Source organism: Homo sapiens, chromosome 2 (assembly GCF_000001405.40).
Source record: "Homo sapiens chromosome 2, GRCh38.p14 Primary Assembly".
In the NCBI taxonomy this organism is placed as follows: Eukaryota; Metazoa; Chordata; class Mammalia; order Primates; family Hominidae; genus Homo; species Homo sapiens.
Window position 1 is genome coordinate 157,745,937 of NC_000002.12, and position 26,665 is coordinate 157,772,601.

General features: G+C 38.6%; 1 protein-coding gene across 7 annotated transcripts in view, besides 5 other annotated features; it reads right to left on the reverse strand.

The window, feature by feature from the left end:
• The window catches only part of ACVR1 (activin A receptor type 1), a 139,885-nt gene that overhangs the window by 9,491 nt on the left and 103,729 nt on the right, over nt 1-26,665 (reverse strand). For all 7 annotated transcript variants that reach the window (NM_001111067.4, NM_001347665.1, NM_001347664.1 and 4 more), the window contains 3 exons: nt 24,432-24,578; nt 19,985-20,260; nt 14,944-15,141 (listed from right to left, as the gene is read on the reverse strand). In NM_001111067.4, the coding sequence (NP_001104537.1) occupies nt 14,944-15,141; nt 19,985-20,260; nt 24,432-24,578 (621 nt within the window). The remainder of the gene's footprint in view (nt 1-14,943; nt 15,142-19,984; nt 20,261-24,431; nt 24,579-26,665) is intronic.
• Nucleotides 3,520-4,030: an enhancer, noted in NCBI's record as "H3K27ac-H3K4me1 hESC enhancer chr2:158605968-158606478 (GRCh37/hg19 assembly coordinates)". NCBI's record gives its function as "activates a minimal SCP1, AML or CMV promoter by ChIP-STARR-seq in naive H9 embryonic stem cells {active_cell/tissue: H9 hESC(naive)}" and the evidence as "EXISTENCE:reporter gene assay evidence [ECO:0000049][PMID:30033119]".
• Nucleotides 4,031-4,540: an enhancer, noted in NCBI's record as "H3K27ac-H3K4me1 hESC enhancer chr2:158606479-158606988 (GRCh37/hg19 assembly coordinates)". NCBI's record gives its function as "activates a minimal SCP1, AML or CMV promoter by ChIP-STARR-seq in naive H9 embryonic stem cells {active_cell/tissue: H9 hESC(naive)}" and the evidence as "EXISTENCE:reporter gene assay evidence [ECO:0000049][PMID:30033119]".
• Nucleotides 5,625-6,124: an enhancer, noted in NCBI's record as "H3K4me1 hESC enhancer chr2:158608073-158608572 (GRCh37/hg19 assembly coordinates)". NCBI's record gives its function as "activates a minimal SCP1, AML or CMV promoter by ChIP-STARR-seq in naive H9 embryonic stem cells {active_cell/tissue: H9 hESC(naive)}" and the evidence as "EXISTENCE:reporter gene assay evidence [ECO:0000049][PMID:30033119]".
• Nucleotides 13,705-14,525: an enhancer, noted in NCBI's record as "OCT4-NANOG hESC enhancer chr2:158616153-158616973 (GRCh37/hg19 assembly coordinates)". NCBI's record gives its function as "activates a minimal SCP1, AML or CMV promoter by ChIP-STARR-seq in primed H9 embryonic stem cells {active_cell/tissue: H9 hESC(primed)}" and the evidence as "EXISTENCE:reporter gene assay evidence [ECO:0000049][PMID:30033119]".
• Nucleotides 15,443-16,034: an enhancer, noted in NCBI's record as "NANOG hESC enhancer chr2:158617891-158618482 (GRCh37/hg19 assembly coordinates)". NCBI's record gives its function as "activates a minimal SCP1, AML or CMV promoter by ChIP-STARR-seq in primed H9 embryonic stem cells {active_cell/tissue: H9 hESC(primed)}" and the evidence as "EXISTENCE:reporter gene assay evidence [ECO:0000049][PMID:30033119]".

Genomic DNA, 26,665 nt, shown 5'->3' on the forward strand with positions numbered 1-26,665 from the left:
TATTCTAACAAGTATGTCCTAGTCCCCACCCCATAAGAGGCACAACTTGGTCAGCAAGGATTTTTCTACAAGATACAAATGGTTTTTGACACATTTTAACCCTGGATTCCATCACAAAATAATCAAAGCCAGTAACAGTGAAACAAGAGTATGTCCACAGAGCCTTCCTGTGGGCAGTGAAGAGGGGAAACAAATGTACTAGGGCCAAGAGGTAGCAAAACAAGAGGCAGAAGACGGCCACTGTGATCTGCAAGCTCCTGGGTGGCCTTCATCACCCATTTTCCGTGGAAAGGAAACCATACCAAAGCACTTTCTATATGCCAGACACACATGAGATGCTTTACATATACGATCTCATTTAATCACCATAACCCTTTAAAGTAGATATTATTATTTTTTAAATAACGAAACTGATGTAAGTCATCGAGTCAGAGAGTATGACGTCAGACTCTGGAATGTTAGTGATTCCACTTCACTGCCTCCCACAGACCCAGCACAAACCCCACACAGCTCCGGAGTGCACTCTTCACACAGACTTCTGTATGCAGTGCAATGGCCCTAAGAGAACCACAGCAAGGAAGACAGAAGCACATCATGCTAATGTATCCAACCAAATTGGTGTTTGTCTATTCAATCTGGGTACACCGTCTTTTTTCAAAAACTCTCGTGTGTATTTGGCTGGGAGCCTCGGCATCACATTTTCTTACCCTAGAACTACTAAATCAGAAATGCTGGGGCTGGGCCCCGGGAATCTGTGTCTTCAGTACTCTAGGTGACTGTGATGCACATTCCAGTTTAAAAACTATCGATCCGAGTGAACCCCTGCCTTAAGTTCATATGGAAAATTCACACAGGGAAGGTAAGAAAGCCGTTTTCTTTCCTACCAATTCCAAATTCAATGTCAAATTAAACACCAAAAGTAAATTCCAAAGGACACTATTGAGAAATGCTCAGATGCAAAAATGGACTTAACTCTCATTTCCTGTAAAGAAACAGCATGAGGTTTATTATTAGTAGCAAATAAATGTAAAATTCCAATAAAAAATATAAAAATGCAACATATTTTTATGCTCATGGTTCACTTGAGGATCATATTACTCCAAGAGATCTATCTGGTCATCAATTTTTATAATGCATTCAGAAACTCAAAGGATGTATCATTATAATGACCTTCCTCACAGAAGATATTCATATATTTAAATGAGATACATTTTATATGCAATAATTTCAAAAATATATATTCTTTTAATGACAGTTCCTAAAGCTGCTAAGAAAATGAAATAGGCACATCACACCCTAGGGTATGGGGGATATTGTAAATTAGTACAGCTTTTATGAAAAGCAACTTGGCAATATGTGTCAAGCCATAAAAACATCCACATTCTTTGACCTATTAAGTCTACTTATTTTCAGATTAAGAATCATTTCCCTGAACGAAATCATCATGTGCACAAAAATGTCTACAATAGGCCCCAAATGGTGGAAACAGGATATCTAACAATATGGAAATGGTTAAGCTAATAAGATGTCATGTGACCATTTAAAATAAAAACAGCCTATTAAGCAAGATTAAAAAAAATACGAATAAAAAAGATGATACGGAATTATATCTATATATGATTACAACTAAGTTTTAAAAATGGGTGCATACAGAAGTAGAAAAAGATGTGAATGTTAAAATTTGAAGGCACAATTTCTCCTACTCATTTTTTTTCTGTTTTGGGAGAGTAATAATTAAAAGACTAACAGTAGTAAAACAGGTTTGCAAGCAGCATTGAATACTTTCAGGTTTAAGTTTAGATAAACTGATTTGTGTGTGGGGGGGTGTACATTGTGTGTATACACACGTGAATGTTCATAGAAGAGGGAACAGAGAACAAAAGAGAAAATATCAAATTAGTCATTGCCAAAGGACAGTGGCTGATTTTAAATGAGACAGGAGATACCCTTATCTCCCCTCTAAAAAAATCAAACCACATTACAGCACAGAAGCTCAACCCACAACATTCTGGGAACCAGTTAACAGTCTTGGTGATGATGCAAGGGAGAGATCAATAAATTAGAAAACAATCAAAACATTCTCCCTTCCTCTACCTTCCTTTTTTTTCTTTTTCTTCCAAAAATAATGTTAAACACAGGAACTACCAAGCAAGCCACCATTTGTTGAGCTAAATTTTAAACTGATGACTCTGACTTCCAACTGACTACTATTAATCACAGCTGATCTTTAAAAGCCACTTGGGTTTATGCCTGCAACACAGGGAACGGGTTTGCAACACGAGTTCTTACAAAGCCTGAATCCCAAGTCTCTGCTGAGCAGGCCTGCTTGGCTCAGCTCTGGCACCCCCACAGCTGGAAATGCTACTGTCTAGCTATGGAATGCCAACTTCCTCTTCATTTGGGGCAAGTTCCACATCATACAGTTTATTTGGACACCAATCCTTCTCTAAATTGTTTGTTAAGATAAACTAATCAGAATTAAAATTTTCAGTTCGAAGGTGTTTAAGAATGATTGGGGAGGGGGTGAGGAAATGAAGCTGACGTGCAATTTCAGGCAAAGTTCAGAACTTTATAAATCTGCAAAACAATTTCTCTGTTGCAAACAATTCTCAAGGGGCATCAAGGGCAGAAACTGCAAGGCAGCAGCTCCCAGTGGTTGAGAAACAATTACCAAGAAAACGTTCATGATTCCATTAAAAAAAAAAAACAACTTTAAAAAGAACTGTCAATTTACAATCCATGTATGTTTAATCTGAACACCTACTTTGATACCCTCAGAAGGTTTGTTCAAAGCAGATCCACTCTGCTATTAGGAAAAAAAACCACCTAAAGGCATGCCAATTTTAATTATTGTACACTAAAACTATATAAATTACCCCAATTCCACTACCTCACAGAAAGTCCTCATCTCTGGCTGTGCTATTCATGAAAATTATGATTGCCCACAAACCTCAATCCTTAGGAGAAAACATCAGTGGAATGTGGAATGGAAACAGCTATTAGAGACTTCATGCATTATTTCTTCTAATCCAGGACTCCAATGGGTCACAGGAGGCTAAAATGTAAAGCATCTTTTGGAAATGAACATTAATCTAAATATATGGCATTTTCTTCTGTTTTCCTGGAATAGTTTCAGACACATGCTCTGTGAAATAAGATTTTCAGTTGTGAAGATATGAAGAGGTTCATCTAGTTAATTCAAGGGATTCTGCTATAAAAACCACTTTGTGGGTAGTTGGGGCATGCCCAATTTGAAAGAGTATACTTAGTGCTTTCAGAATACAATGTACTTAAAGTAAAGTTCAACAGTATATTTGTGGCTGATTTGGGTACATGAAAGGCAAGGGTGAGAGCGCACTGTGGGGGACATAGGTTAAAAATGATTGACAAGTGCTTCTTTAACTGCTAAGGCATCACCATTTAATAAAACTACTTATAAACAGATCAACATAGGCCATCTATCCAGGGCTTCCTGCATTTAAATTTGACTCTTTCAGTAGGTACAGTCTGCTCATTATAAATAAGTGACTTCTGAGTGCAAAAACTGAGACTTTTCTCAACAATCCAAACTTAACAAGTCAAAATACCTAGAAAATAGCAGAATTCACCCTCAGATTCACTTGATCATTCTCCTCAAGTTAAAACTCCCTTGTGAGAAGAACAAAAAAGGAAGGAGGGTGGGAAGAAAGGTAAAACAGGAAGCTGGAGAAAGACAAGAATGAAATACGGACCAGTCCACCTACTATCCCTGGTGTCTACAGGCACGATCAGGGGGCTCTGAAAACAGGCCTGCCCCACTCACCTCTAGGGCCCAAGCATGCCATCTGGAGGTCTGAAGAAAGGCTTCCGCCACCAAGAGTCACCACTTGCAGTGCCTAAGCACAATTTCGAAGGGTCTAGGGATCAACTTGCTCCACCCACCACAGCCTGCACCCATGTGCACCAATGGGAGGCCTGAGGACAGGTTCATCCCGCCCAGTGCTGCCCCTGTCAGGGCCCATGTGCATCATCTGGGTGCCTAGGGATTGTCTGCTCAGCCTGCTGCCACCACTGGTGTGTGTGTATACCTTCTGGGGGATTGAGGATGAGCCCGCCCAGCCTGCTAGCACCCGCACACACATCATCTGACAGCCTAGGGAATGACCTGCCCTGCTGGTCACCACTGGAGCCTGAGCATGCCTCCTGGGGACCTGAGGACTGGCCTTCCCAGTAGGCTGGTACCCAAGCTTGCTGCCTGGAGGCCCAATGGCTGGCCCATTCCACTACTGTCATCATCAATGCCACACAAGCCACCCAGAAGCCTGATGATGAGCCTGTCTACCACCGCTGCCATTGCTGGCCCTTGAGCAAGATGCCTGGAGACACAAGGATGAGTCCATTGCATTCGATTCCATTGGTGCTCACATATGCCATCCAGGAGCAGAGGACCAGCATGCCTGGCTTGCCGCCACAACCACTTGTGCCCAAGGACCAGTCTTCCTGGCATCCCTATCCCAAGAAAACCCTCACCACAGCCTCCATTAATTTCAGCCTAAACCAAAAAGGACTCACAGACACCACTGATGCCAATTACAGCTGAAGTAATCATATGGATACTACACTAGTGAACACACCCAGAATCAAAACCAAAGCGCCCTACCAACCCAATATAGGAGACAGTCTTTCCCTACAAAAACCAAACCATAAAATTGGGAGAAACAAAGGTTATACCAGATGTGCTGATATCAACGTAGAGACACAAAGAACATGAAAAAAACAAGGAAACATGACACAGTAAAGGAACACAATAAGTCTCCAGCAACAGATTCCAATGAAGAAAAAATAGGTAAAATGCCCGAAAACAAATTCAAAATAATATTAAAGAAGCTCAGTGAGATATAAGAGAACACAAGTTAAAAATACACAAATAAATTGGAAAAACAATTCACGATCTGTGGCAAATTAAAGAAATGGGTATCATTAAAAAAAAAAATCAAACAGAGGTTGGGGAAAAGATGGCAGATAGGAGGCCTGACTAAATTGCAGCTCCCACTTAGATGGACAGAGCAACGTGTGGAGACTCGCACCATAAACCTTTGCTCCAATAACTACTCCAGGAATATACCAGGAAAGCTGAAAGAATCAACGGACCCTTTGAAGGAAGTGGACTGCTCCTGCAGGACCTGGGAGACAGTCCAAATACTCTGAGTGCCCAAACTGTGAAAGTGGGAAAGGAGGACTGACTGTCCACCCCCAAACACACACCCTCACTGGGGAACCTGAAGGTCCAGATTATGGAAGAAGGATTTGACCTTACCTGGAGCTGAGACAATTTAGAGAGCTGAATGAAATACAGGGGCACAGGAAGCAGCAGGAAATGCCCTATGGGCTCTCTTGGTCCCTGGGGAAGCCATTTCTGACTTGTCTTACAGCGGTCCTTGGGAAGGGCTGCCGGAGGAACTGGGAAAAGACCACGGGGAGATGGAAACCTCCAGCTGAACTGTGTAAAAATTCTAACCGAATGCAAAGTTTCCTTGCCCGAACTCAGGGGAGGGCAGGAATCCGGTGTCCAGACTCGACAGGTGGGAAGGCGTGCAAGCCCTGCTTGCTTTCTCAGCTGGGAAGCTGGTAGCCTGGAGCAATTCTCAGCCCTGCTGGCCCACTGCCTGGAAACAAACTTGGTGCTGTTGAGGGGGTGGGGAGCACAGTGGGAGTGAGACAGGCCTTTTGGGTTGTGTGGGAACTGGGTAAGGCCTATAACTGCTGGCTTTCCCCTACTTCCCTGACAACATGCATGACACAGCAGAGGCAGCCATAATGCTGGGAACATAACTCCACTGACATGGAAACCACAACCCCATTCCCCACAGCAGCCACAGCAAGCCCCACCCAAGGAGAGTCTGAGCTCTGTCACGCCTAACCCTGCCCCTACCTGATGGTCTTTCTCTACTCATCCTGGTAGCTGAAGATAAAGGTCATATTCTCTTGGGAGTTCTATGGCCCTGCCCACCACCTGATCCTCCCCTATACTACCACAGCTAATGCTCTCTTGAAAGCGCCACCTCCTGGCAGGAAGCCAACCTGCACAAAACTAGCACATCAAACGACTACAACTAAAGACCCTCACAGAGTCCATTTCATTCCCCTGCCATATCCACCAGAGCAGGTGCCGGTATCCATGGCTGAGAGACCTGAAGACAGTTCACATCACAGGACTCTGTGCAGACACCCCCCAATACCACCTGGATACTGGTAGCCCTGTGTGGGTGGCTAGATCCAGAAGAGAAATAATAATCACTACAGTTTGGCTCTCAGAAAGCCACATCCCTAGGAAAAGGGGAAGAGTACTACTACATAAAGAGAGCACCCTGTGGGACAAAAGAATCTGAACAGCAGCCTTGAGCCCCAGACCTTCCCTCTGACATAGCCTATCCAAATGAGAAGGAATCAGAAAAACAATTCTAGTAATATGACAAAACAAGGTTCTTTAACAACCTCCAAAAATCACACTAGCTCACCCGCACTGGATCCAAACCAAGAAGAAGAAATTCCTGAATTGCCAGAAAAAGAATTCAGAAGGTCGTTTATTAAGCTAATCAAGGAGGCACCAGAGAAAGGTGAAGTCCAAATTAAGGAAATCCAAAAAATGATTCAAGACCTATCAGATTAACAGCAGATTTCTCAGCAGAGACCCCACAAGCTAGAAGGGATTGGGGCCCTATCTTCAGCCTCCTTAAACAAAACAATTATGAGCCAAGAATTTTGTATCCCTTGAAACGAAGATTGATAAATGAAGGAAAGATTCGGTCTTTTTCAGATAAACAAATGCTAACAGAATTCGCCACTACCAAGCCAGTACTAACAAGAACTGCTAAAAGGAGCTCTAAATCTTGAAACAAATCCTGGAAACATATCAAAACGGAACCTCTTTAAAGCATGAATCTCACAGGACCTATAAAACAAAAAAATACCATAAATACATTTTGAAAAAACCAAGGTATTCAGGCAACAGATAGCATGATGAATAGGAATAGCATCTCATATCTCAATACTAACCTTGAATGTAAATGGCCTAAATGCTCCACTGAAAAGATACAGAATTGCAAAATAGATAAGAATTCACCAAGCAACTATCTGCTGCCTTCAAGAGACTCACCTAACACATAAGGACTCAAATAAACTTAAGGTAAATGGGGTTGAAAAGATATTCCATGCAAATGGACACCAATAGCAAGCAGAGGTAGCTATTCTTGTATCAGACAAAACAAACTTTAAAGCAACATCATTTAAAAAAGACAAGAGGAACACTAAATAAAGATAAAAGGCCTTGACAGCCGGGTGTGGTGGTTCACGCCTGTAATCCCAACACTTTGGGAGGCCGAGGCGGGCAGATCACAAGGTCAGGAGTTTGAGACCAGCCTGGCCAAAATGGTGAAACCCTGTTTCTCCTAAAAATACAAAAATTAGCTGGGTGTGGTGGTGGGTGCCTATAATCCCAGCTACTCAGGAGGCTGAGGCAGGAGAATCGCTTGAATCTGGGAGGTGGAGGTTGCAGTGAGTAAAGATTGCACCACTGCACTCCAGCCTGGGCGACAGAGCGAGAATCCATCTCAAAAAAAAGAAGCCTTGTCCAGCAGGAAACTATCACAATCCTAAATATATATGCACCTAACACTGGAGCTAGTAAATTTATAGAACAATTATTACTAGACCTAAGAAATGAGATAGAGAGCAACACAATAATAATGGGGGACTTCAATACTTCTCTGATAGCACTAGATAGGTCAAGACAGAAAGACAAGAAAGAAACAATGGATTTAAACTATACCCTAGAACAAATGGACTTAACAGATATTTACAGAACATTCTACTGAACAACCACAGAATATACATTCTATTTATCAATGCAGGGAAATTTCTCCAAGATAGACCATATGATAGGCCACAAAACAAGTCTCAATAAACTTAAGAAAACTGAAATTACATCAAGTATTCTCTCAGACCACAGTGAAATAAAATTGGAAATCAACTCCAAAAGGAACCTTCAAAACCATGCAAATAGATGGAAATTAAATCTCCTGCTCCTCAATGATCACTGGGTCAACAATGAAATCAAGATGGAAATTAAACATTTCTTTGAACTGAATGATAATAGTGACACAACCTAACAAAACCTCTGGAATACAGCAAAGGTAGTGCTAAGAGGAAAGTTCATAGCCTTAAAATGCATACATCAAAACATCTGAAAGAGCACAAACAGGCAACCTAAGGCCACACCTCAAGGAACTAGAGAAATAAGAATAAACCAAACTCATACGCAGCAGAAGAAAAGAAATAACCAAGATCAGAGCAGAACTAAATGAAATCGAAACAAAAAATACAAAAGATAAATGAAACACAAAGCTGGTTCTCTGAAAAGATAAATAAAAGTGATAGGCCATTAGCAAGATTAACCAAGAAAAGAAGAGAGAAGATCTAAATAAGCTCAATTAGAAACGAAATGGGAAATATTACAACCAACACCACAGAAATACAAAAGATCATTCAAGGCTACTATGAATACCTTAACGTGCATAAACTAGAAAACCTAGAGGAGATAGATAAATTCCTGGAAATATACAACCCTCCTAGCTTAAACCAGGAAGAATTAGAAACTCTGAACAAACCAATAACAAGCAGCAAGCCTGAAATGGTAATTTAAAAAATTACCAATGAAAAAAAAGTCCAGGACCAGATGAATTCACAGCCGAATTCTATCAGACATTCAAAGAAGAATTGGTACCAATCTTACTGACAATATTCTGCAAGATAGAGAAAGAGGGAATCTTCCCTAAATCATTCTATAAAGCCAGTATCACCCTAATACCAAAACCAGGAAAGAACATAACAAAAAAAGAAAAGTACAGACCAATATCCGTGATGAACATAGATGCAAACATCCTTAACAAAACACTAGCTAACCAAGTCCCACACCATATCAAAAAAATAATCCACCATGATCAAGTGGGTTTCATACCAGGGATGCAGGGATGGTTTAGCATATGCAAGTCAATAAATGTCATACACCACATAAACAGAAATAAAAACAAAAATCACATGATCATCTCAACAGATGCAGAAAAAGCATTTGATAAAATCCAGCATCCCTTTATGATTAAAACCCTTAGCAAAACTGGCATACAAGGGACATACCTCAATGTAATAAAAGTCATCTATGACAAATCTACAGCCAACATTATACTGAACAGGGAAAAAGTTGAAAGCATTCCCTCTGAGAATTGTAACAGGATAAGGATGTCCACTCTCACCACTTCTATTCAACATAATACTGGAAGTCCTAGCCAGAGCAATCAGACAAGACAAAGAAATAAAGGGCATGTGAACTGGTAAAGAGGAGGTCTAACTGTCGCTGTTTGCTGATGATATAACCGTATACCTAGAAAACCCTAAAGACTCCTCCAAAAAGCTCCTATAACTGATAAAAGAACTTACCAAAGTTTCTGGGTGCAAAATTAATGTACACAGATCAATAGTTCTGCTATACACCAACAGCAACCAAGCTAAGAATCAAATCAAGAACTCAATCCCTTTTACAACAGCTGCAAATAATACCATACCATACCATACCATACCATACCATACCATACCATACCGTACCATACAATACAATACTTAGGAATATACCTAACCAAGGAAGCAGAAGATCTCTACAAGGAAAACTACAAGACACTGCTGAAAGAAATCACAGATGACACAAACAAATGGAAACATATCCCATGCTCATGGATAGGTAGAATCAATATTGTGAAAGTAACCATAATGCCAAAAGCAGTCTACAAATTCAATGAAATTCCCATAAAAATACCACCGTCATTCTTCACAGAACTAGAAAAAGCAATCCTAAAATGTATATGGAACCAAAAAAGAGCCTGCATAGCCAAAGCAAGACTAAGCAAAAGGAAAAAATCTGGAAATAATACATTACCTGACTTCAAACTATACTGTAAGGCCACAGTCACCAAAACAGCATGGTACTGGTATAAAAATAGGCACACAGACCAATGGAACAGAATAGAGAACCCAGAAATAAACCCAAATACTTAACATCCAACTGATCTTTGACACAGCAAAAAAAAACATAAAGTGGGGAAGGATGTCCTATTCAACAAATGGTGCTGGGATAACTGACAAGCCACATGTAGGAGAATGAAACTGGATCCTCATCCTTCACCTTATATAAAAATCAACTTAAGATGGATCAAGGACTTAAATCTAAGATCTGAAACATAAACATTCTAGAAGATAACACTGGAAAAACCCTTTAGACATTGGCTTAGGAAAAGACTTCATCACCAAGAACCCAGAAGCAAAAGCAATAAAAGCGAAGATAAATAGGTGGGACTTAATTAAAGAGCTTCTGCACAGCAAAAGGAACAGTCAGCAGGGTAAACTGACACCCCACAGAGTGGGAGAAAATCTTCACAATCTATACATCCGACAAAGGAATATTATTCAGAATCTACAAGGGACTCAAGCAAATTAGCAAGAAAAAAACAACTTCATCAAAAAGTGGGCCAAGGACATGAATAGACAATTCTCAAAAGAAGATATACAAATGGTCAACAAACATATTTTAAAAATACTCAACATCTCTAATGATCAGGGAAATGCAAATCAAAACCACAATGAAATACCAACTTACTTGCGCAAGAATGGCCATAATCAAAAAATCAAAAAATAACAGATGTTGGCGTGGATGCGGCACAAAGGAAACACTTCTACACTGCTAGTGGGAACGTAAACTAGTACAACCACTATGGTAAACACTGGAGATTCCTTAAAGAACTAAAAGTAGAACTACAATTTGATCCAGCAATTCCACTACTGAGTACCCAGAGGAAAAGAAGTCACTATACGAAGAAGATACTTGTACACACATTTATAGCAGCACAGTTTGCAACTGCAAAAATATGGAACTAGCCCAAATGTCCATGAATCAACAAGTGGATAAGAAATTGTGAGCTATCTATCTATCTACACGTATTTTTTATATATATTTATATATATATATTTGAGATATATATATTTGAGATATATATATATTTGATATATATATATATATATATATAAAATAGAATACTACTAACCCATAAAAAGAATGAATTAATGGCATTCACAGCAACCTGAATGGAAATTTAAAAATGCAATCCGGAGACTAAATCAAGCAGAAGAAAGACTTCTGAACTTGAAAAGATGTCTTTTGAAATAGCCAGTCAAACAAACAAACACTCAACCAAAAAGGAATGAACAAAGCCTACGTGATATATGGGACATCATTATACAACCAAATATTCAAATTTTGGGTTTTCCAGAAGGAAAATAAATGGGCAAAGGCATAGAAAACTTATCCCTATCCCCCAAAAAAAGCTGAAATTTCCCACATCTTTCAAGAGATAAATAGACATCCACATATAGGAAGCTCAAAGATCCCCAAAAAGATTCAGCCCAAAATGGTATTGTCCAAGGCACATTATAGTCAAACTTGTAAAGTCAATGACAAAGAGAAAATTCTAAAAACAGCAGTAGAAAAGCATCAAGTCATATATAAAAGACTCCCATCAAACTAACAGTGGATTTCTCAGTGGTAATCTCACGGGCCAAGAGAGAATGGGATGACATATTCAAATGTTGAAAGAAAAAACAAAACTGTCAGCCAAGAATACTACACTCAACACAAAGCTATCCTTTCCAAATGAAGGAAAAATAAGGTATTTCCCAGATAAACAAAAACTGAGGGAATTTATCATCACTAGACTGGCCCTACAAGAAACACATAAGGAAATGCTATATCTGGGTGATATATGCCATCACAAAAAGACATGAAAGCATAAAACACTGGTAGAGCAGACACAAAAATGAGAAGGAGAAAAAATTCAAATTTAAGGAGAAAATATACAAACACACACACACACACAAAAACAAACAGTAAAAGGAGAAGAAATGAAGGATATTCAAAACAACCAGAACACAATTAATAAAAAGGCAGAAATAAGTCCTCACCTATAAATAATAATTTTGAATGTAAACAGATTAAATCCCCCCAATTAAAAAATATAGACTTGGTTAAATAGATTAAAAACAAGACCCAACTACATGATGTCTTCAAGAAACCCACCTCACTTGTAAAGGCACATATAGACTGAAAGTGAAGGGATAAAAAAAGATATTCCATGCAAATAAAAACCAAAAGCAAACAGAGGTAGCTATACTTCTATCAGATAAAACAGACATTAAGCCAAAAACTGTAAAAAGAGACCACAAAAGGTCAGTATACTGTGCTCCCTCAGTATACATGGAAGATTGGTTCCAAGACCCCAGTCTAAACCAAAATACATAGATACTCAATACCACAGTTCGTCCTGTGAAACCCACAGATACAAAAAGTAGGCCCTCTATATACTCAGTTTTGCATCCCACAAATACTGTATTTTTGTTGTTGTTGTTGTTCACGTGTGGTTGAAAAAATCATGCAGTTCACACCTGTGATGTGCAAGGTCAACTGTATAATCATAAAGGAAGAGAGAATATCATGATTCTAGATATATATGCACCCAACACTGGAGCATTTTTATACAAAGCAAATATTATTAAACCTAAAGAGACAAATAGACTCCAACACAATAACAGTTGGGGACTTCAACATCCTACTCTTAGCACTGAACAGATCATCTAGACAGAAAAATCCAAGAAACATTGGATTTAAAATGTACTTTAGACCAAATGGACCTAACAGGCACTTACAGAACATTTTATCCAACAGCTACAGACTACACATTATTCTCATCAGCACATGAATAGACCATATGTTAGGCCACAAAACAAGTCTCAACAAGTGGAATAAAACTAGAAATCAGTAACAAGAGAAACTCTGGAAACTGTACAAACACATGGAAATTCAAAAACACACTCCTGAACAACCACTGGGTCAATGAAGAAATTAAGAAGGAAATAAAAAAAATTCTTGAAACAAATAAAAACGGAAACATAACATACCAAAGTCAATCGGATACAACAAAAGAATTGGTAACAGGGAAGTCTGTAACAATAAATACCTACATCAGAAAAGCTGAAAGATTCCAAATAAAGAATCTAAAGATGGGCCTCAAGGAACTAGAAAAGCAAGAACAAACCAAACCCAAAATTAATAGAATAAGAAAGGTCATAGCAAAACTAAACAAAATAGAGACCAAAAAGTAATCATACAAAGGATTAATGAAATAAAAAGTTAGTTTGTTGGAAAGGTAAAGAAAACTGATAAACTGTTAACTACACTAACCAAGAAACAAGGAGAGAAGACTCAAATAAATAAAATCAGAAACAAAAAAGAAGACATTACAGCTGATACCACAAGAATACAAAAATCATCAGAGATTATTACAAACAAATTGGAAAACCTAGAGGAAATGGATATAATCTACCAAGATGGAACCAAAAGAAAATTTAAAATCTGAACAGACCATGAATAACAAGATGGAGTCGGTAATAAAAAGTATTCCCACAAAGAAAACCTCAGGATTGGATGGCTTTACTGCTGAATTCTTCCAAACTTAAATAGAACTTCTTCTTGAACTATTCCAAAAAATTGAAGAGGACTGAATTGTCCCTAACTCATTCTGAGTCCAGAATCACCCTGATACCAAACGAGACAAGGAAACCACAACAAAAAAAGAAAACTACAGGCCAATATCCTTAATGAACACAGATGCAAAAATCTTAAACACAATACAAGCAAACTGAATCCAACAACACATAAAAAAGATAACACATCATGATTAAGTGGGATTTATTCTTGGGATGCAAGGAAGGTTCAACACATGCAAATTAATTAATGCGATACATCACATCAACAGAATCAAAGACAAAAACCTCATGATCATCTCAATATATGCAGAAAAAGTTCTGTGTCTATTCAACATCCCTTCATGATATAAACTCTCAACAAAGCAGGTACAGAAGGAATATACATACTTCAACATAATAAGGGCCATATGCAACAAACTCACAGGTAAATTTATACTGAATGGGGAAAAGCTGAAAGCCTTTTCTCTAAGAACTGGAACAAAGACAAGAATGCCTACTTTCACCATTCTTATTCAAAATAGTACTAGAAGTCCTAGGCAGAGCAATCAAGCAAGACAAAGAAATAAAATACATTCAATGTGGAAAAAGGGAAGTCAAATTGTCCCTCTTTGCAGGTGACATAATCTTTTATCTAGAAAGATAAATACAGCCAGTTATCACTCATATGTGGGAGCTAAAAAAGTTGATCTCATGGTGGTAGAGAGTAGAATCATAGTTACCAGAAGCTGAGAAGGTTGGGGAATAGGGGTGAGGATAGCAGTGGGATGAAGAGACGTTGGTTAATGGCTATAAACATAAGAGCTGGATGGAAAAAATAGGTTCTAATGTTCAATAGCACAGTAGCATGACTATAGTTGACAATAATATACTATGTATTTCAAAATAGCTAGAAGAGACTATTTGAAATGTTCCCAACACAAAGATAAAAGTTCAGGGTGATGTACAGCCTAAATGTCCTGATTTGAGCACTACATATTACATACATTTATCAAAATATCACATGTACCCCATAAACGCAAGTATTACGTATCAATTTTAAAAATTTAAAAGAAAAGAAATCTGGAACAAATCCAAAGAAAAACCAAGGAATGGCTGGTCTCTTCCAGAAATACTGGTTTTCAACCATCACTTACTGTGGTATATTTCAAACATAAAAGCCATTACACTCCATCTACCAGCCATAAATCAAATATGAATGCCTATAACTCGACACGTACGATTCAAAGAACAATGTGAATTTCAATAGTCCCTTCAGCCCTTTTAAAGGTAGCTGGATCAAGAGAACTTGGATTAAGACAATATTATATTAGATTAGATACCTACCATTGCTCACCATCCGCCTGGCCACTTCCCACAAAACAAGTCCAAAGGCCCAAATATCGACCCTTTTATAAGAATCGAAACAATCCACCTGGATGGTTTCATCTAGAACTTCGGGGGCCATGTAGCGCTTGGTGCCCACACGGGGATTGTTCCCCACATCAAGCTGATTGGTGCTCTGGGAATGCATGACTGCCAGGCCTGAAAGGAAGAAGATAACAATGTAATCAACCCACTTCCTTTCTCATAAGAGGCTGCTGAAGGATTTTAAACCAACCCCAATCAAAAGTGCCCTCTTGTGGATCCAGGGTCACTGTTGCAATACACTCAGAATGATCCCTAGAATGCCCTTTGTGATTATTTCCGGGGTGAGAGCAGAAAAGGGACTAAATGTCAGAAACATTCTAAGGCTATCAGGTTAATATATGAACCTCAAAGAGACAAAAAGTTTTGGGTAAATTGTAGACCAATGCACTAAACCAATGTGGCCTGTGTTTGAGGTCCACAGGAAAACAGGCTCACATGTTAAATGTGAGCCTCTAAGTGGCTTAACAAGAAGCAAATTAAGCTCTCAAGCTCCACCACTGCTCTCACTAGTCTCCAAACACAAATTTCCAACAGTGTGAGATAGAGCATTTAAAGTAATTTATCACTACATAAAGGGCAGATTGCTATAAGCACTGCTTTATTCCTAAAGGAAGAGCTGCTTATCTGAGCAGTAATGCTGACCAAACCCACAGGCCTTTTCTCTAGAATCATGGAAACAGACAGCATTTAACTGGACCTCAATTGAAAGCACAACTCTCAGGTTAAATGGCTTTCAAATGCTTTCTTAAACCATGACTCATTCCAGAATTCCTCAGTCAATTAGGGAGACAGGCTTTCTTCACTGGCCAGTGGGGAGACACATACATGCATGCTTTATTTGTGGATGATTTTATGTTACTGATGCATATGCAGACTGACTGAAAATGATTCCTATAACATTTGTTGTAATGAAAAGTGCCAAATTGGAGCAAGCAGTCCCTGTAAACCACTGCAATGCAAATATCCCTTGTTGATCTCTCAAGCCATCTACAGAGAATGCTTCACCTTCCACTCCACGGCTTTGAATGTGGGGGATGACAATTTCATATAACATCAGGGAGCTAGCACACCTTATCTCATCCTTAATAATTAGCAAAGATACTGGCAACTGCATTACACTAAAACAGACAGGTTCCTCTTTCACCTATTTTTATAATCAACCCCAAGATTCTATGGACACTGTGAACATTTCCCAAATCCTATGCAATAGTCCCCCCACTTATCCTTCAGTTACCCGCAGTCAACTACAGTCCAAAAATAGGTAAGTACAGTACAATTAAGTATTTTGAGAGAGATACCATATTCACATAAATTTTATTATAGCATACTGCTATCATTGTTCCATTTTAGTGTTACTAATGTTCATCTTTTACTGTAGCTAATCTATAAATTAAACTATAATAGGTATGTAATAGGAAAAAACATAGTATATATAGAATCTGGTACTATCCTGAGTTTCAGGAATCCACTGGGAGTATTGGAAGGTATTTCTCAGGGAAAAGAGGGGACTACTGTATGCCCCTCCACCATTTGCAGAACCAAACAGTCAAAATATCAGAATATTTAAAAGGTGCAGGTTAAATAGAACATGGAGATATTCTGAAGATGGGAGAAGCTTCAAAGAACTTGTGGACATATTTTAAAGCCACCACTGCTAGGATCTCCAGGTGAGGCATAATTCCCCATCCCTTGAGTGTATGCTGGACTATTGAATAGACTATGGCATAAGTGACAGTGGGTATCTTCACAGTTAGGATATAACAGATGTTATAAAATTATAAAAGGCTTCCTGTTTGTCCCTCTCAGCTCACCATGCACCATGTTATAAAGACACTCAAGCAACCCTGTGGAGAGGTCCCCCTGCAAGGAGCTGAGACCTGCCGCCAATCATGGCTTTAAGTGTGTCCTCACAGAGTTGGAAACTCCAGCTCTGGTTGAGCGTTCAGATGATTGCAACCTCCACGAGACCCTGAGCCAGAACCACACCGCTAAGTCATTCCAAGATTCCTGACTCTCAAGAGACTGTGTGAGATAACAAATCTGTGTTGTTTTAAGATGCTAAATTTTACAGGTGATTTGTTCTTAGTAATAAGTAATTTTTACACTAAAGATGACAAAACAACCGGATGCAATTTGTAAACTTTGGCTGAGTTCCTCTTTGAAAAAACTGAAAACATCTGAAAATGAATATAAAATGATACTAGAGAATTATCAATAATCTGTAGATATGAAAAACTGATTATGAAGAAGATGCATTTTTAAGTATTTTCAAGGGATGAATTTTGAAGTATTGAGGGGTAAAGTGTTGTGATGCCTGTAACACTTTATTTTCAAATGGATTGGCAAAAATATACACATGGTCACAGATTGATAAAGCAAACATCACAAAGTTTTAACAATTATTGAATCTAGGTGTTCGGGATTTAAGTGATCATTATAACATTTGAATTTTTTAATAATAAAAAGAAAAACAGACGAGGCACAGTGGCTCACATCTGTAATCTCAACATTTTGGGAGGCCGAGATGGGATTGTCACTTGAGCTCAGGTGTTCAAGATCAGCCTGAGCAACATAGTGAGACCTCATTTCTACTAAGAACAAAAAAAAGTTAGCCAGGTGTGGTGGTACACACCTGTAGTCCCAGCTGTTTTGGAACGCTGAGGCAGGAAGATTGCTTAAGCCCAGTAGATCGAGGCTGCAGTGACCTATGATCAGCCTGGGCAACAGAATAAGATCCTCTCTCAATCAATTAATCAATATAATACTGATCTTTTTGCAGGATTAATCATAGAACACTATTTCTAATACATGATCCTTAATTGCTAGGTATATACTGGTAAGTTATATACAAATTATGGTCTTATAAGAGTTGTTTCCTGCACTGCATTGTTTTACCATATCCTGAATAATAACGCCTTAACAGATTTTTATACAAACCCATATATCTAATTGGAAGGTTACAAGCCAAAAGAAATGTAGTTGAAGAATTAATTAGCTGGACTTACTGCAAAGTTCCCCTCAACTCCTTCCCTACCAAGTCCCATAAACCAAAACCAAGAGCCACCTCAATTTGTCCACCCTCCCCAGACCACTGGATTATAACAGAAGCTACAACTTGAATCCTTATTGTTTACCAGACATTTATAATACTTCTGGGCCTTACCAGAATCCGGTGAGGTGGGCTTATTTTTTAGTTACATGAGTAATATATGATCACACTATATATATATTTTTTTTTAGACGAAGTCTCGCTCTGTCGCCCAGGCTGGAGTGCAATAGCGCGACCTCGGCTCACTGCAACCTCCGCCTCCTGGGTTCAAGCAATTCTGCTGCCTCAGCCTCCCCAGTAGCTGAGATTCCAGACGCACGCTACCACGCCCGGCTATTATTATTATTTTTCTTTTTTTTTTTTTTTTGTATTTTTAGTAGAGATGGGGTTTCATCACGTTCGCCAGGCTCATCTTGAACTCCTGACCTCAAGTGATCCTTCCGCCTCGGCCTCCCAAAGTGCTGGGATTACAAGCGTGAGCCACCGCGCCCGGCCACGATCACACTGTTATGCAAGTTTCTAACAACGCAGAAGTACAGGGCACAGCGTCAAGCCCTGGAGTTCCTCTTGGCTAACTCCCAACCCCATCCGCCTTCGCCCTCACTGTCCCTGTCTCACTGAGTGAAAGCAGTGTCAGCACTTGGGCCAGGTAAATAGATAAATAGACTTGCACAAAAATACAGGGTAATTGAGAAAGCCAGAATTTAAACCCAAATCGCCCTGGCTCTAAGAGCCATGGAATAAGCCATAAAAGTCCTCTACACCACAACTAAAAATGCCTGCAAAAAACTTTAGGGCCATGCTCTTTCAATGCTTATCCTAAAATCTTTCGTCTCCTACTTGGGAAACATTGTAATTTCTCAATGTAAAAGCAAAGACTTTAAAGGGATTCAAAGGAAATAAATTTTCCTAACATGTCAAATCCCTTATGTTTAAAAACAAACAAAAATAAACTTTGTTATTTACATAACTAAAGCTATTTTTGTCTAAACCTTTATCAGGCTAACAATAATTGCAATAATATAAATATCATATAAACCATGTTTAATCAAGTAGAGGGCCCTGAATTCTCATTAGCACAATTATTTAGCCAATATTCTAGGAATCCAGGAAGAACATGGTTTTATATAAAATGCCACTATAAATGAAAATACTCTTATTTATAATGCAACTAAAGCTACACTGAGTACTACTCTAACACCATAAGAATGAGCTATCCTAACAGGGAAAAGAGTGAATCAGTTCGGGGATTATTTTCCTATTTCTTAACTTGATTCTTTTGCCTTGGTTACAGAATGATTTTAGAGACCACTTTTAAGATAAACTAATTCTATAGAGTATTTATTGTGCACCTACTTTATGTGAAGGTTAGTGAAACCAAAATGCAACAGTACTGGTTACTTCTGAGGTGGGGTGTGGCAGGGACTGACTGAATGAGCCTGAGGTAACTGTCAAGAGTAATGGGAAACTCTGTATCTCGACAGGGATTTGGGTTTTACAACATTTGTCAAAACTCTTAAGATTTGTATATCTCACAGTATATAAATTTTACCTGAAAAAAAGAAAAAGCAAATAATGCATTCTTGTCAATGATATACTAGTGTACATGCTGAAATCATCAGAAGAAAGAATTCCTTTGTCTGCAATTTACTTTCAACTCTATCAAAGGTTGATATGGACTGATGGATGGGGAGATGAATAGATGAATAAATACATAATAATGCTTAAGGATAGTAAAATGTTAATGTGAGAATCTATGTGGTGGGTATAAAGGTGTTCATTGTAAATGTTCAACTTTTCTGCATGTTTGAAATTTTGCATAACATGTTGTGGGGGAGAGATGCAACTCACCTAACCATTGAAACAAAAATAAAACTGGTGAGGAAAAAAATATTTTTAGAAATTTACCCAAATCTGCTATGCAACACTGTCCATTCTTCTTAACCAGAATATTTTTGCTCTTTAAATCTCGATGGGCAATGGCTGGTTTCCCTTGGGTCCCAAATATCTCTATGTGCAAATGTGCAAGACCACTAGCTATGGACAGCACTATTCGAAGGCAGCTAACTGTATCCAGAGTAGTAAGCTGAAGATAGTCGTACAACGATCCCATTTCATGATAATGTGTAATTAACCACAGCTGGGTACTGGAGTGTCTTGATGTCATGTCTGAAGCAATGAAACCTGGAGAGAGCAAGAAAAAAATTAATATACATGAGGATTCCACATTATAACTTAAAGTATTTAGAAATAGCGACCTACACAGTAAATGTCATCTGTAACAAAAAGTAATTAAACTGACCAATTGCCCTAAGAGGAGGTTTACAGAAGCATCAACAGAGAAAAATAATAGCATTTATTCCTTAAAAGGGCACTGCTAATAGGAAAATTTCATATTCATTTCATTATAAGTAATACTTTAAAAGATATTTTACATTCCTTAAGTTTCAGATAGCAATAATATCTTTGTGCTCACCCATAATGATAGTGCCAAGCCCTTCAGCATGTTGATATTTTAGGAACAGACCATTCATCAACCATCCTAAAAGAACATCAAATCTAAAACCTGAGTACTGTATTCTAGTCCTGACTCTGCCTGTGATTTACTTGTCTAATACTGGGCAACTCAGTTAGGCTCCTTAGCCTATATCTGCTCAGATGTAAAATAAAGGGGGCAAGTTTACATTAAATGATTGACTGATTCACGAAATAAAAAAAGAAACCAACCAAATATATGAGTATTTATGATGCTATCTGTCAGTCACACACAGAAAAACCAAGATGATAGTGTTTGCTGGCTAAAGAAGACAGATGTAAAAACGAAAACACTACAATAAAATACGAAAAGTACTATAATATATATCTTCAAAGGGCAACATGAGCCCAGAGCAGGAAATTATAGTAATTCAGACTAGGTGTTACAATAGGCTTCCATTAGGAAGTGGCAACTCAACTGGTCTTGAAGTAAAGTGAGTGACTGACAAATGTGGATGAAGAGGTTGGAGAAGATTTTTCTTTTTCTTTTTCTTTTTTTTTGAGACGAAGTTTCCCTCTTGTTGCCCAGGCTGGAGTGCAATGGCGCGATCTCGGTTCACTGCAACCACCGCCTCCTGGGTTCAAGTGATTCTCCTGCCTCAGCCTCCCGAGTAGCTGGGATTACAGGGGCCCACCATCACGCCGGGCTAATTTTTTATATTTTAAGTAGAGATGAGGTTTCCCCACGTTGGCCACGCTGGTCTCAAACTCCTGACCTTCAGGTGATCCACCTGCCTTGGCCTCCCAAAGTGCTGGGATTACAAGCGTGAGACATCGCGATCAGCCCGGAAGAGATTTTTCTAGACATCTGGAGGGAACTTTTGAGCATGCAGAAGACTGTCTGGAAGTTAGGGGCACTTCCTATCTTATGAAATAAATTGTGACGTGTGCTTGCCTTTTCTGCTACAGAGGTGCCTTTCTAGGATTATTCTCACATATATGAACCACGCTGGTAGACAGTGAAGTTTGGGACTTAAAAAGAGGTGAGAAAAAAAATTTTTTAAGACGGATATGGCTTGAGGAAGAATTAAATGACTTATGAAAATGTAAGAGAAAATACATTAAAATGCTTTATACTTGCATAGTACTTTATATAAAATTTATGTCACTTTCACATATATTTTCTCATGAGATTTTTCCCAACAAGCTGGTAAGAAAGACATCATTATGCTCATTTTACAGATAATAAAGTTGGTGCTGGGAGATGCCAAGGATCACACAGCTATTTAAGTTGCTATCAACTCTGAATTTAGTGCTAGCTGTCCTGATACCTTGCATAGGAAGGCTCTGTGAGCCAAGAAAGGTCCCCTATTTGATCATCATCATCATCGGCAACCACAACAGAGGCAGCTAATAATTATTGAGTACTACATGCCTGGAACTTTATATGCAATCCTCCAAAAACCACATGAAGTAAGTAGATCGCATAATTGATATTAGGTTCCTGTAGGTCTGATTCTAGAACCCAGACTCTTACTGACTATGCCATACTGTCCCCAAACAAACTGATTTCTACTCAGAGAAAAAATAATTTCACATTTTCACCTATGGGACATATGCAAAGCAAACTGAATAATATTTTAGCACCTTCACCCTCTACTTCTTTCTCTCTCTTCCTCTAAGCCTATTCCCATGGCCAGCCCTGAGTCTCCCACTCCTTCCCTGCTCCCCAGTCTGCTTTTCCCCTCGATGCTGCTTCTCTTGGAGCCCTTAGCTGGCCACAATATGCATCAAAATGTGTTCTTGGACATTAGTTATTCTTAATAAAGAAAATGTTTCTGCTTTAACAGTTTGAACCAAATAATACTAATCTTTAATGATTTTCTTAAAAAATACCCCAAACTCTAACAGCACCACTCAAAAGAAATTAAATTACTGTTATATATCTGTGTAGCCTCTACTGATTTCCTCTCCCAAGAAAAAGGAGCTTCTGATTAAATAAATAAATAATAAACGAATACATTTTTATTATCTCACCTTCACTAAGCCCCTTAGGTCTTAGGGAAGAAGTTTATCTGTCCCATTAATTATGCTCTAGACCATCAGGAAAAAAATTACTTTTAAATAAGCAGGGTTTTCTTTTTAACTGTTTATCTCTTAAGCGTGAATTATATAACTACCTTTGCTTCATGATTCTAGAGTACTTTTATAGAATGTTTGTGTTTTGAGTACAAAACTGTGGTTAAGAGTTAGGCTGCCTGATGTAATTTCCACCTCCACTATTTAACCTCTCTGTATATTGGTTACCTCAACATTTAAAACTGGGAAAATGAGAGTACCTATTCTCTTATGGTCATGGTGAAGATTCTGTAACAAAATGCACATAATGCACCTGTGGTTACCGCGTAGTAATGATCCATTGCATGTTTATTGTTACTACTGTTGCTATTCTTGTTACACAGAGACGTTTAACTGCAACACAAGGCAGTGTGTGGTAAGAGTTAGAGCAGAGGTACAAAGTCGGGGAATGCAGAAAAGCACAATTAATTCCACTGGGCAAAACTAAAAGGGGCCAAGAGGTTTTGACGGAGGAAGGAATGGTTGGAGGATGTGAAAAGGATAGTGAGTGATCAAGAGCAACCTGAGAAAGGACAGTGAGACCTAAATGTTTGTGGCGATCTCAAGGAATGGTCAGTATTAGTAGTAACTGAATGGGGCATACTTGTAAAGGATGGTTAAGTGATTCCTGGGAGCCCCAAACCAGGGAGTCTTGAATACCAGTCACAAGTGTTGCAGGAAATTTGGGAGCCATCAAAGACACTGAACAGAATGATCTCTGCTCCCCAGTGGAAGACAACTCCAAGTGGAGAGATGAATTGGAAAGGGAAAGCTGACAGCTGAGGTGAGGAGGATTAAGTGATGACTAGGACCCGATGGGTAAGCAAAAGTGAGAAATCAACTACAGAAACTGAAAAAATTTTGAGATGGAACATCACCACCACACCACGGAAGCAAAGCTTTGAAGCTTTGGACAACTGTCAAATCATTATTTGCAGACAACTTGACTCATTTAAATACTAAATTGGCAGTGCTAAAATAGAAATAAATTTTGGCAATGGCCTTCCTATGAGCCAGACCTAATCCAATAGCCATAAGGTGGCCAACACTATCCTATACAGAGTTAAATTCTATATAAACTTTATATCCACTATTGAAGAAGCACTCCAGGCAGCATTCACCATACATGTATCAGTATAAACACACTTAGAGAAACTTTTCAAAAATACAGAAGTCAATGGGCCTAAGGAGTGTGCTCACCCTTTATACTGCCATAGCAGTATTTCAACGGGCACTTTACATATTTCACAAATGTTGCTAAGCTTTAGTTTCTAAATTAAAATGTATCCTGAATCCCTCTGCAAATCTGGGTTTTAAAAATGATGCCTAGTTTGAGGGAATGTGCATTTAATTACGATATCCCTGGGAGCTGTGAATCTCTAGGAAATAGTCCAAAGATCTTTCTTAGTTTGATTCAAGTAATAAATATTCAAAAAGGGTGGGGTGAGTAGAACAACCAATGAGCCTTGAAGTGAACAATATGGGGCAAATTTTTGTTATTTAAATAACGATCTGCAGATGTAGGAATAAGAATTAGCACTAGTGGATTTCCTTTTCATCATCCAGAGAGTCTTAAACTTATTTGCAGATTTAAATAAGAAACTGGTGTTTGAGAAAATTAAACAGCATATAAATGCTAAGGATCCCTATATTGCTTTTTAGGAGACACTCTCGAATTCACATTCACCAAAACGGAGAGAGCAAAGGCAGACAATTGTTTCTCCCTAGATACAATTAATGAGGGGGTTATCCTTGTACTTACCTAAGATATTTTCATGCCTCAGCATCACAGTGTTGTACAATTCCGTTTCCCTGAACCATGACTTCTCATCACGGGAGGAGAAGATCTTCACGGCAACATTCTCCCCTTGCCAGCTGCCCCTCCACACCTCACCATACCTGCCTTTCCCTATGAAAAGCAAAACATAGGTGACACAGAACAGTAGTCATTTTGGAGGCAGCCAGCCCATCATTAAGAATAATTAATTTAGTGCATGCAACTCTTAATCCCTCCATTGCTTACTGGAGAAACTCAGCTTGGGAATATAAATATCACAACCTTTATTTTTTATTTTTTTTGGCCTATAAAGACATACAAAAATAAGGTGGAAGCTGCCCCTCTCATCTACCATATTGTGATAACAAACTGCCTTCTGTATCTGCATTGTATAATTAGCTGCTAATTACTCAGTTTACATTTAAATTCCTCTGTTGAAAGGTATAAAATGCATATGACTTTTAAAACACATGAAAGTAAAACTTAGGAAATGGTACAGATTATTAAATTTCAATTGTGTTCTGAAAGCCAAAAAAGTGTACATCAGTAAACTGAATTCCTTCCTTGGTTCCTTCCCTTCACACAGGATCAACATAGGCACTGTCCAAATTGGTGAATTTAGATATGCATTTTTTCCACAAAGGAGAACAATTAAGTTTAAAATGTGTGTTCTAAGGATTAAAAAACAAAAACAAACCAAAACACAATGCTGCTAGAAGATCGACATGCAGCCACTGCATCCATAAAGATTTCTTGGCGGAAGATGTATTTCAAAAAGAGGATTTGCAAAGTCTTAAATACATAATCCCAGAAGAGTTCTGACTTCTTCTGATACTGGTCATGGGTATTTGTTTGTCAGACAGCTCCTGTGATGCTACAAGTGGGCTACACTGAAAAGGCTACTTGGAGAATACATTTTGGAAAACGTGGCAACTCTACTTGTGATCTAATCTGTTTGGTGCATGGCCCCCTCTTGCAGCAGCAACACACTTGTCAGCTTGTCAACTACATGCTCCCTCTTCCATTCTTCTCTTTAATTATAGGTAGGGGTGATCAGGGAGGTTGGAGGAGGAGGTAATTACCACAAGACTATGAGGATCAACAAGGGGTATAATCAGCCTAGATAACAAGGCAAGAGATATAACTTGCAGGGCAGTGGGGCTTTCTACCCAGGCAAGTGACTGCTGGAATCACACAGCTTCTAATAAGCAGCTGCAGCACCACCTGCATATACAGGAATACAGTTCTTTGCTGGAACACTAAGTCACTGAAAACCCAAACATGGAGAGAGAAGCAGTTCTGTCCAGGAGACACACCTGAATCATAATCACAACCACTAAATCTAGATTACCTGACAAGAATATCATGTCCCTATTAAATACCAACAACTAACCCAAAAGGATGTTCAATGTGGCTAACAAGTGCTCATTGTGGGCCACTGTTGGGTCACACAAATATAATTTAGTACACGATTCCTTTTAATAAAGCCATAGCAATTTGCCAGCATTTATAGCTCAAGATGAGGCCTAGTGCTAAGATACTACAAATACTGGCTGCCAGAAAATGGTATGCTAATCTTTTCCTGCCTTTGGTTCTGTTTTGTATCTTTATTTTCCCTTTGTCCTCATTTTGTCATTAGGGATGAGAGCAAAATATCCCAGGGAATTATGGATACAAAATTACCTCAAATCCTTTTTTTGGTTGTTGTTTTAAAGAAAACAGAAGATGAATGTCGAGGTAGGTAAATTAAAATAGAAATATTGTTCAATGGTTTTCAAATGCTTTTAAGTTGTTAAATGCTTTTTGCAAATTCATCATTATGCAGAAGCCCCTAAAACAAAAGCAGAGCTGCCCAAAAGCCCTGGCCATGGAGCCCCACAAAAAGGCTCCCTTAAGGCACCTGAAATTTGTAGTTTCACTGATCGTCATCCAGAAATGACTCCCCTAACCCAACTTCCCATGTTTTTGAACCAAAAATAACATACCATCCATGCAGTTCATCACATATATTTTTACTAAAAGCTGTACCACATGAACACACTAACTACAAGCTAATGAAAGGCACTGCTTTTATTAAAGTCTTTAGTCCTAACCCAAGAAAATGCAATAATGATATTTATACTGTTTCAAAAGAATGCTGAGGAATATCTATAGAACCAGAAACTACATACTTTAAAGGTGCATTACTATTTTGCCATTTGGACTCTGGAGCCAATCTC